The sequence below is a fragment of the Homo sapiens genome, chromosome 6, assembly GCF_000001405.40.
Source record: "Homo sapiens chromosome 6, GRCh38.p14 Primary Assembly".
NCBI classification, from domain to species: domain Eukaryota; kingdom Metazoa; phylum Chordata; class Mammalia; order Primates; family Hominidae; genus Homo; species Homo sapiens.
The window spans coordinates 100,126,401-100,138,615 of record NC_000006.12 but is presented as its reverse complement, the minus strand read 5'-3'; the positions used below and the strand labels follow the sequence as shown (position 1 = coordinate 100,138,615).

The 12,215-nt window shown below is 39.0% G+C and overlaps 1 pseudogene, besides 1 other annotated feature; it reads right to left on the bottom strand.

Moving 5' to 3' along the window:
• On the bottom strand, positions 1,695–2,618 carry PRDX2P4 (peroxiredoxin 2 pseudogene 4; annotated as a pseudogene).
• Positions 11,597–11,646: an enhancer, noted in NCBI's record as "active region_24865". NCBI's record gives its function as "activates an Ori minimal core promoter by ATAC-STARR-seq in GM12878 lymphoblastoid cells {active_cell/tissue: GM12878}" and the evidence as "EXISTENCE:reporter gene assay evidence [ECO:0000049][PMID:35858748]".

The window sequence follows — 12,215 nt, the reverse complement described above, 5'->3', positions numbered from 1 at the left end:
CAGCTTCATTAACTTCCTGTGGGAGAAAAAGTGTAGCCTGAGTGTTAGAGAGGGGCACATGTGGGACTCCCTAATGCACGTGACTGTTCTCTTTGTCTTCTTCTTATATTTTTATCTGTCAATTCCCTTCATCAACCCAATGGTGATGAGATATAGCCTGTTTGCCATACCCAGAAAAGAGAGATAAGAGTCTTTTATGATAGCTTATATCTTCTCTTTGACTTTCTCCTCCTGGATGATTTAGGCTTTCACCACTACTTCTCTTGGGATGACTCTCCCAAACCATCAGTTCAATATGGAATCCTGGAACTTTAGTGCTAAAAGTTGCCACTGAAATTGTCCTGTCTAACTTCCAAATGTTAAAGTTAAGAAAACTGAAGCTCTGAAATGGCAAATGACTTTCCAAGATTGTACAAAGAAGGGGCTAAAAAAATCAGATTAGAACCTGCCTCGACTCCCAACCTAGTGCTCCTTCCACCACTCCGTATCCTCTCTAATGCCTCCTACAACATCTTCCCCTCTCCCCTTACTTTTATTTCTATAGTCGATTTTGTATTCCAAGTAGTTGTTGAGTTTCACACAGCTTTGTAATAGCTTCCTGGCTCATATCCCACCTGCATGCACAAATCTCTTCTAAGATAACCACTGCAGATTACATGTTAAAAATGTATTTAAAAGTGCTTTTTGTGGTTATTTTAACTAAGGCTTCTTGTTGCCTCAAATGAGGTCAAAGTAGATACAACCCACCTTGCCTGCCTATCTCCAAAAGGCTACTATGTCTCTCTTATTCTCTAGCCTAAACTGACAGTTCCCTGTTCTTGGAATACTGCCCATATTTTTCCACTTACTGCTTCTTCCATTTGGAATGGCCATCCAAAATCTCTGCCTCTCAATGGGCACCCCAGCCTTTAAGACTCAGATGAGACGTCACCTCTTCCATGAAGCCATCACTTAGGTCCCAAACTCTTCCTTCTGTATTTTCCCATGATGTGTAATTCCTCTTTTATATACCATGTGAAAGTGTAGTTATTAGTGTATATATTTTATCCTTTCAAGTAGATTTAAAATTTTCCTATGCCTTAGATTCTGTCCCATACAGTCTTCTACCCTGCAGTCCCTCCCAACAGTATCTAACATAGTGCCTTGAATATAATTGATGTTCAGTGATATTAATTGAATGTTATACTATTTGATCAAGGTCTGACAACAATAGTTTTACTCTAGGTTAGAAAGTTCATTTTGGAGCCGAGCACAGTGGCTCACGCCTGTAATCCCAGCACTTTGGGAGGCCGAGGCGGGCAGATCACGAGGTCAGGAGATCGAGACCATCCTGGCTAACAAGATGAAACCCCGTCTCTACTAAAAATACAAAAAATTAGCTGGTGTGGTGGCGGGCGCCTGTAGTCCCAGCTACTCGGGAGGCTGAGGCAGGAGAATGGCATGAACCTGGGAGGCAGAGCTTGCAGTGAGCTGAGATCCCGCCACTGCGCTCCAGCCTGGACAACAGAGTGAGACTCTGTCTCAAAAAAAAAAAAAAAAAAAAAGGAAAAGAAAAAAAGTTCATTTTGACTTTTCAAACTGTATCACTGTATCTATTGCATCATGGCATCTTGGAATTAGAAACCAAAGACCAAGAAAGATATTTAAAATTATACTAAAACATACATAACAGAATATCGACCTTTTTTTTTTTTCTGTCGCTTATACTTTATTGGTCAACTCTAGGCCTGTGTGCGGCTGGGTGGGCTTGTAGGAGGGCATCACTATTTACTAGTTCCCAGGTGGAGGCATGAGACGGCCTTGGTCTAGCCTTCCAGTGTCCCAGACTGTGGACTTTGGAGGGGCAGGTCTGGCCTTTCCTGGGTCAGCACAGGGCACCCAGGTGGCGGCACTGGTGGGCAGCCAGCACAGGCACCTAGGTAAGGGCACAAGCTCACTATCCGTCAGCCAGCCTAATTGTGTTTGGATAAATTTTCCTTGCTGTCACCCACGTTGAGCTTAATCGTGTCAGTGCCAGGCTTCCAGCCAGCGGGACAAACTTCCGCGTGCTCTTCTGCGTACTGGAAGGCCTGGACCAGCCGCAGAGCCTCATCCACGGAGCGTCCCACAGGCAAATCATTAACAGTGATCTGGAAAGGACACCCTTGCCATCACTGATAAAGCGGCCCCTGTAGGCAATGCCCGCATCTGTTTTCAGCACGGCGTAATCCTCAGACAAGCCACTGGCCACCTCAGCAAGCAGGGGGATGTTCAGGGGGCCCAAGTCTCCCTCCCTCTGGGGGTTGTTGATCCAAGCCAGGTGGGTGAACTGAGAGTCCACTGAGATGCCCAGCACTTCGCAGCCCAGCTTGCGGAAGTCCTCGGCATGGTCGCTGAACGCGATGATCTCCGTGGGGCACACAAAAGTGAAGTGCAGAGGGTAGAAAAAGAGGACCACGTATTTCTCTTTGTAGTCCTACAGCTTCACTTCTTTGAAAGCGCTATCCATCCACCACGGCGGTGGCCTTGAAGTCAGGGGCGGGCTATGCCATGCGCGCGATTACGGAGGCCATGACTGAAAGCTGCGTGGGCTAAGGCTGGACTCACGGGCAACCAGACGCGTGGACTCACGTTCTCAGGACCAAAACTGACCATCTTAACCAACTTTACACGTAAAGTTCAGTGGTATTAAGTACATTCATATTGTTCTGTAATTATCACTACTATCCATCTTCAGAACTTTTTTCATTCTGCAAAACTGAAACTCTATACCCATTAAACAATAACTCCCCATTCCCCTTTCCTCCCAGCCCCTGGGAACCATAATTCTAATATCAAATTCTATGAATCTGACTATTATAAGCACCACATATAAGTGAAATCATACAGTATTTGTCTTTTTGTGCTGGCTTATTTCACTTAGCATAATGACTTCAAGGTTCATTAATATTATAACATGTGTCAGGATTTCCTTCTTTTTAAAGGCTGAATAGTGATTATATAGAGAGAATATTTTGTATATATATTATATATGTAATATTCCATCTCTCTCTCTCACACACACACACACACACACATATCACGTTTTAGTTATCCATTTATCCATAAGTGGACACTTGCCTTGCTTCCATTTTTGGCTATTGTAAATAATGTCACTGTGAACATGGGTGTAAAAATCTCTCTTTGAGATCCTGCTTTTAATTCTCTTGGGTAAACACACAAAAGTGGAATGGATCATATGGTAACTGTATTTTTAATTTTTTAAAGGGATCTCCATGCTGTTTTCTACAATTCTACATTAAAAAGTTGGATTCTAGGCTGGGCATGGTGGCTTATGTCTGTAATCTCAGCACTTTGGGAAGCCAAGGCGGGTGGATCACGAGGTCAGGAGTTCAAGACCAGCCTGGCCAAGATGGTGAAACCCTTGTCTCTACTAAAAATACAAAAATATTAGCCGGGCGTGGTGGCATGCACCTGTAATCCCAGCTACTCAGGAGGCTGGGGCAGAGAATTGCTTGAACCTGGGAGGCAGAGGTTGCAGTGAGCCAAGATTGCACCACTGTACTCTAGCCTGGGTGACAGAGTCAGACTCCGTCTCAAAAAAAAAAAAAAAAAAAAAAAGTTGGATTCTTTTAAAAAATCTTCCAAAAGTCTAACATGTAAGAGAATATCTGAAGTAAGAAATAACAGAAACTACAGCACAGCACTGCTATCTATCCAAGCTGCTTTAGTCAGATGAATCACAGCTGGTGTTCAGAAGCCAGTTCAGTGTAAAAAAATATGACACACAGCCTGTGGTTCCTGAGCCTGACTGTGTGTGAGAATCTTCACACCAGATAGTTGAAGCTAGAACCTCTGGGAACTTGGAATCACATAGAGCTCCCCCAACAGTTATAGTCCTCGCCTGGCCATATGTGAGGAGTCTTTTCATGGATTATGAGTATGTCCACAAACTTGGACTGATAGTATTGATGCAATTAATATTTACTTAAAAATATCTAGTTGTTTAAATAGGTTCACATCCATGGAGATACCATGAGGCAACCATGTACGCCCTCAGGTAACTCCATAGTGGTAGGGCAGATAAACTGGAGACAGGGAGATAGACCGTGGAGCCAGACCCAACAGGAAGGAAGTGGACAAGAAAACAGATGAGTGTGCAGGAAATCAGTAGCTACAGATTTCATTGGCCCTACATATGGTAGTCAGGGAGATGAGAGAAGACACAGTATAAAAGAGGATCCAAGAGTAAGCAAAACTTGGAAATTTGGGAAGGCAGTTGGCATCAGGGAAGTCCATCAGTAGGGGGCAAGAGCAAGGCAAAATAGGGGACAGGGGAAAAGATACTAGGCCTAGGGGAAATAACATATTAGGCAGTTCACAAAATTAAAAAGAAATTAGGCACAAATGAACAACTAGGGCATAAAATAAGAACTAATATCAAAGGCAGCATCCCCTCTTTCTGCCATTTCTTCATTTTGTCATTCTTTCATCCATTCAGTGGCAATTGCTGTAGACTTACTTGGTGCTTGGCAATATGGGTCCAGACTGCTCTTCTGGAATCCTTTAATCCCTTTTGTTTAAGATAAGGAATAGTCCAAAAATCCTACCACAGAATGTCATTACTAACAACATGTACACTGGTTGCTTCCCTTACTTTAAGTAGTGTGCATATGCACGTTTTCCAAACAGCCTGGGTCTGTAAATAAAAAGTGGTCACTCTTTCAGTAGGTATCTTAACAATACCATTAAAAGAGGCTTTTCACTCTGTCAGCATTGTTTTGAATTCCAATTTTGCCAGTGCTTTCTTCATTAATTTAAGAAGTGATTACCCAGCCAGTAGACTATTTTTTTCCTGATGTTCTTTTTTTCTCCTCTTCTCTCTCCTGTGCTATGCTTTATGAACTCTCATTGCTCATTAAATTAATGTGTGAGCAGGAGTTGGAAAAATAACTAAACTAAAATTAGTCATGTTTTCTAGTTTTTACCAGTATTGATATGATTTACTAGAGAAGGAAATTGGAACTGTGAACTAAAATTAAGCTTTTGAATTATCGGAAGATTTCATTCATCCTTGTTATTCCCAACCCTAGGGAAGAACTCTGTTCACCATGAGTGGGGAAAAAGTTTCATGCAGTAACATAATCTAGTTTTAAATGCTTTTTCTGAATTCTGAACAAGCATAAATTGTCTCTATTTCTTGAAATTTAGGTTAGCAATCTTAATTTAAAATATGCTGCCCATAATTTCATCATTTGTGAATGTGTTAATTAAACTGGTAATGTTATCAAAACAAAATTGAGTTTCAATTTAGTTTTGTGAATATATTTTTCATAACTAAAAACAGTTTTATAGTTAATGTAGACATAGAGCATTCTTCGAATAAATAATCATCATTACCCAAATTAAGCAAGTGTTTGAGTGTCCTTTCAGTCCTCTCATGGTACATTATTTCTGACTGTAACATACCACTGACTTATCTGCCCCTCAGCAAATGACTTACTTTAATGCATCCATTATTCTTTCTGAAACTGTGCTCTTTTTTCTTCTTGCTTTGTTTTACCTTCATGATATCTTTGTTGTCAAACAGGTATTTAAGGTTATCACTACTGAGAGTTTTTCTAGAAGACATTCAATATACTAGAAGTAGAGAAAGAATGATTTATTCTGCTGTCATCTTCATTATCTTATGCAAAAAGTCAACAAGAAAATTCAACATAAATGCTTTACAATAGCAAAATTCAATATAAATGATAGAACTGGTACATCTTTCTCTCTCTAGTCTATTGTTTTCCAAGGTTGTTCTAAAAATGCCTAGTTCATAGGATGCTCCACATAAAAATGGTTCTGGGATGAGATGACTTTGGAGAATGCTGCACTGCATACTCACCTTTGGAGATATCCAAGGCCTATTAGTATATTACGGGCTGAATAAACTTGCTGTAAAGTAACCTGCATAACTTTATTCAAGTGTTTTCCACAATTATTTAGACAGAGAATCATTTCCTCTCCTCTTGGAAGAAGTGTTCCAAAAATAAATGTAAGAAACACTGATTTATTGTTTCCTGCTTAAAACACACTTACTAGTATCTGTGTCATTACTATATGTTAAACATACAGTACAAAAAGAGCTGCCTTCTGACTAGCAAATTATATGCTAACTTTAAAATACAATGTAGGTTTGGAGTGCTGTCAACAAGATGGCAGAATAGGAATTGTTAGCCCTCATCCTGCCACAGAAACACCAATTTAACAGTGATATATGAACCCAAATATCTTTATGAGAAGTTCAAAATTCACTTAAGAAGTTGCAGTCACTCAGATTCACATAAAACCAAAATACCACATTGAACTAGGCAAAAGAGCAATTTCACTTTACTCACATCACTTCCTTCCTCAGGCACAGTTCAGTGTCAAGAAAGATTGCTTCAGCCCATGACTCCTCTCTTGGAGGGAAAGAAAGGAGTATGCACCCAACATTCTCAGTCTTTTGGGGTGCTGAGAGACCTGTTTCTGTTCTACCTCACTCAGAGTGCTAAAGAAACCACAGCATAGTTTTAACACCTGGGGACAGCTAAGAACAAAAAACATGGGGTAGACAGCTTACTGCAGCCAGCATGGTTCTGCAAGACTGGGAGAAGGCATACAATCCTAACATTTCTCTCCCAGAAGATGAGGGAGAAGAGTGAAGCATGCATCCAATGCCCTGGTCTTTTATTGCACTGCCCTAGGGAAAAGGGGTTGGCAGCTTACCATGGCCAGCATCGCTCCTTGCAATTGAGAGAAGGTGCACAACACTACAATTTATCCCTCAGGAGGAAGAGAGAGAAGTAGAGAATGCAATGCACATCTATAGAGAAGGTTTGGGAGGCTCCTAGAATCTCTAACCAGGTTTACTGGTGAAGATCTTTTCCTACTGAAGCCAGTCTTTAAAGATTAGAGGAGGTGGCTATTTCTTCAAATGTGCAGGCATCAACAAAAACTACAAAAAGCACCAAAAATTAGCAAAATATGACACAATCAAGGAACAAAATAAATGTGTAACAACTGACCATAAAGAAATAGAGATATATGAATTGCCTGACAAAGAATTCAAATTAATCATCTTAAAGAAGCTCAGTGTGTTACAGGACAGCACAGACAACTAAATAAAATCAGGAAAATTATACATGAACAAAATGAGACTATCAACAAAGAAATAAAACCATAAAAAAGAACCAAATAGAAATTCTAGAGCTGAAGAATACAATACCTAATATCTAAACTGAAAAATTCAGCAAATTAAATTGTAGACTTGATTAAACAGAAGAAGTAATTTAAAAATATGGGTCATTTGAAATTATCTAGTTAGAGAAACAAAAAGGAAAAATAGTAAAGAAAATCTAAGGACCTATGAGACACCTTCTAGCAAACTAGTTTATGTACTATGTAAATTTTAGAAGGAGAGCGAGAAAGGGGTAGAAAGTTTATTTAAAGAAATAATCTTGAAAACTTCCCAAATCTTGGGAGATATATGGAACTGCAGTTTCATTAAGTCTAAAAGACCCAAATAGGATTAAATCTACACCAAAATACATTATTATCAAATTGCCAAACATCAAAGACAAGGAATTTTCAAAGCAGCAAGAGAAAAGTGATTTGTCCCATGCAAGAGATCCTCTATCAGACCATCAGTGAACTTCTCAGATGAAGGCTTGCAGGCCAGAAGAGAGGATAATAATAAAGAAAATAATGCTGGGAAAAAAATGACAAAACATCAACCAAGAATACTATAACCAGCAAACTGTATTTCAGAAATGAAGGAGAGGGAAAGACTTTCCCAGACAAACAAAAGCTGAAGTTTATCTCCACTAAACTCGCATCTCAAGAAATACTAAAGGGAATTCTTTAAATTGCAACAAAATGATGCTAAGCAGTATCACAAGAGCATATGAAAGTATAAAACCCACTGGTACAAGTAAATACATAGATAAATACAGAATATTATAATACTGTACAGGTGGTATATAAATCACCTGTAGTATAAATGTTAAAAGACAAAAGTATTAAGAATAACTATAAAAGAAAAACTACCAAATTTTTTCAATGTATACACAACATAAAAGATGTAAATTGTGACATAAATAACATAAAGTGTGAGTGGTTGGAGAAGTAAAAGTAGAATTTTTTTGTGTGACAGTAGTTAAGTTGTTATCAGTTAAAAATAGACTGGTACAACTATAAGATGTTCTATCTAGCCTCATGGTAACCACAAAGAAAATACCTATAGAAGATAACAGGAAGGCTGGGAGAGATGGCTCATGCCTCTAATCCCAGCACTTTGTGAGCCCAAGGCAGAGGATGATTTGAGACCACGAGTGTGAGATTAGCCTGAGGCAATATAGTGAGAGCTCATTTCTACAAAATAATTTTTTTTAAAAAATTAGCCAGGCATGGTTGTGTACCCCTATAGTCCCAGATACTTGGGAGGCTGAGGCAAGAAGATCACTTTAGCCCAGGAGTTTGAGGCTGTTGTGAGCTATGATTGCATCACTGCACTCCAGCCTGGGTGACAGAGCAAGACCCTGTCTCCAAAAAAGAAGCTACAGGGAAGAAAGAGAAAGAAATCAAAACACATTATTATTTTAAAAAAATCAGTAAAGCACAAAGTAAGATAGCAGGAGAGGAAAAGAAGAACAAAAGAACTGCAAGATCAACAGAAAATAACTAACAAAATGACAATAGTAAGTCCCTCCTATCAATAATTACTTTAAATGTCAATGTATTAACCACCCAAATCAAAAGAGATAGAGTTGCTGAATGAATAAAAAAATAAAAACAAGACTGAACTATATGTCTACAAGAGACTTGTTTTAGATTTAAGGACACATGTAGGCTGAAAGTAAAAAGATGTTCTATGCAAATAATAAATGAAAACAGGGATGGCTACACCTGTATCAGAATTAAAATAGACATTAAGTCAAAATGCAATGTAGATTTCATTATTCCAAACACTGGCTAGATCATATCTAACAAATAATGCCAGATAGTTAATATTAGTGTGCCGAGGAAAAGTACAAAAGTGAAATATTTCCTGGGCCTTTAGGATCTTCAATCAATTGTAAATCAAATTTATATAGCTTAAAATTACTATTTGTTTCTTATTGAAAAAACAAGTACAGTCAGCGCTCCATATCTATGGGTTCTGCATCTGTAGGTTCAGCCAACCATTGATGAAAAATATTTTTAAAAAACCCACAACAATATACATAGTAACAGTACAATAAAAAATTATACAGATTTAAACAATATAGTATGACAACTATTGACATAGCATTTCCATTGTATTAGGTATTATAAGTAATCTAGAGATGATTTAAAGTATGCAGGAGGATACGTGTAGGTTATATGCATTTACTATGCTATTTTATATAAGGGCCTTGAGCATTTGCAGATTTGGGTATCTGCAGAGGGTCCTGGAACCAGTACCTTGTGGATACCAAGGATATGAGAATTAGTATCATTTCTTTTTTTGACAAGATGAACTATTTTAAGTTGTAGTATTTCTTTTTTTAAAAGATGGTTATTCTTGCCAGCAATTTTTTGATAATTAGAACTGAAAAAGAATAGTTGTTTCTTCTCTTTTATCATTTCCTTAAATCGAAATTATGTTTCAATGAAAATTTACTGTTTTCTTCTTATACAACTGAGTTCTTTCTTTCCATTAGACTAACATTTCCATGGGCCTTTGGGATATCAAAGGAAACAGCGTGGGAGGGGCAAGATTATGATGCACATATTTCTATCCCATCTTTGCTCTTGTGAGTAAACAACTCCATTTAGCTTCTCATCAAGTTTTCACATTGTGATAGGTAAAGCAACGAGACGCAAATGGACTTCAAAACACCTGGCCCTAAATAGGGGGCTTGGAAAATAAATTAATTTAGAATGTAAAAGCTAGATGTCACCTCAGAAATAATCTAATTCAAGGGCTCTCAATGCTGGCTGCAGCATAGAACCACATAGACAGCTGAGAAACAAACAAACCAGCAAGCAAACAAACAAATGGCAATGGTTGAAGTCCCAGTACACAGATTAATATTAATTAATTAATTAGTACTCCAGTGAAATCTGGAGTCTGAGACTTAATATTTTAAAGAACTCTCCAATGATGGGGAGACGGAGAATCAAAAGAGAAGTTAACGATGATAACAACTAATCCTCTCAAACTCCATCACATTCGGAGTGAGGAATTTCTTGAGCAAGTAAGTGATTTTCTTGTTTACTGTTGGAAAATCAGTTAGTCCATTTGAATTAGAAAGCAGATCTTCTTATCCTTAACCTGAGCACTTTCCATCATATAGCATTGCCTTTCCTCACCATTCTCCTTAGCTACATGAAATTTTTTTTCATGGACAAGTCATACAACTTCTTTGATGTTCATGTTTTGCTTTACCTGGTCAATAGTACCCAACAGGACCATTTTAGGATCAAATAATAACTATAAAACATGCCTGTTTTATATGTGTTATTAAATGTATATGGCATTGCTGATATATTACAAGTGATCCAAACTACATTGTTCATTTACACTAATTAATAGAATGTTTCCCATCAGCTTTTACTTGAAGAAGGGTTTTCCCAATTTTTCTTGGAAATCTAAGACCATCTCTTAGCATGTTATTTACTCCCAGATTCAATCTCTTTGCCGAAGCTACTGAGTTATTTTCAACATCCAACCCACTCTGGGACATAATCCCTTCTTAGTGACTTTACAAAAAACAAAAAAACAAAATAAGAATTCTTAAATAAGTGGCTAGCGCCATGTCCTGGACTATGATATTGTTTTGTTGCACTACAAAATAAGAAGTGAGAGCAAGAGAAAGTACTTTCTCCACACCGGAGTCCCCACAGGGACACAGCCAGCAGCCTGGCCCCTTTGGAATGGAACACCTGCCTCCTCTGCCTGCTGGGTCCCTTCTCCTTTGAGCCCCCACCTCACACAGCACGTTCTACACCTGGCCAGCTGCTCCCTCAACTCCGGTGGAGCCTTCTTTACCAGTGGCTCTGCCTTACTTACACTCAGAGAAAGGCTGTAGGAAGGGGATGAAGACAGGCTACCCCCATGATAGAATGCCAGGGCTGCTAGTATGTCTCCACAGAGAAGATAAGCTACGTTGCTTATCTAAGAGCTGGAACTCCAGGTGCTTCTTGGGGTGATCTTTGGAGTCCCAGCATCATTTGAGGTCAATAGAGATAGACGGGTTGTTGAGTAGGTGGTATGCTAAACTCCCATCCAAGGAAAAGTGCAGAAAGTACCACTAATGAATGCCAAACTGGCCCCTGGGCATACTGACCAAGGGGCTGCCATGATTCCTAGGCCATCAGCATTTAACTTGATGTTCCACTGGGAATTGCAGGGCTGTCTGCCTAGCCTTCATTACCATGAATAATCAAAGTTGGAAGTACGTCAGAGGGCTTCTATGGACATTGTTTTTCACCTACTATAAGGTGATGGCAGTTTGCAGTAAAATTATTTCATGGAAAGTCCCTAGAATGCGCTGATGTAAGCAGCTAACACCAGCCTCTCTAAATCAATCATGTCATGGTTTCAGCCTAATTACTAGAATTGGTGTTCAGACTAAAGAAGTCAGTAAATACCAGAAAGTAAGTTTTATTGCAAATCAGATTGCAGTTCCAGTAAAGTTGTTGTATATGAACAGAAACATGCTGCTTACAGATGTCCTTCAGCCCCAATCCTAAGTAATATATATTACAAAATAAAGGGGGAGGGTGCCCACAAGTGGCGAGGACAGATGCTCCTAGCGAGGCATCACAAATCAAAAGCAAACCTAAATATTCACAAGAGGTATGCCATGACTGGGTGGAATAAAATTGGACAGGCTCAATTTTTAAAACTGCTTTAGGTGACTGTCTTATCCGGGGGGACGGGGGAAAAACTGTCTTCATTGTTAATTCAATGCCTGTTTGCCTTGCATAGAGCAGGCAACCAAGAATGTGAATTAAATGAGTCCTGTAGATACGAAGGGGAAAGTACCCATTTCAAAGAGCTTTCTATCATCCTTATTACCAAGTTCTCTGCTTCCAAATTATAAGGAAGGAAGTCCTGTGACTATCGGGGAGGGGGGGGAATGTGGTGGGTTTACTATGGGAAATTGAATCAAGTTTCCCACACTTATGTCCAGTGTATTTATACAAAACAGGTACCCTGATCTTCTCCCCATTTATTCCCTAAT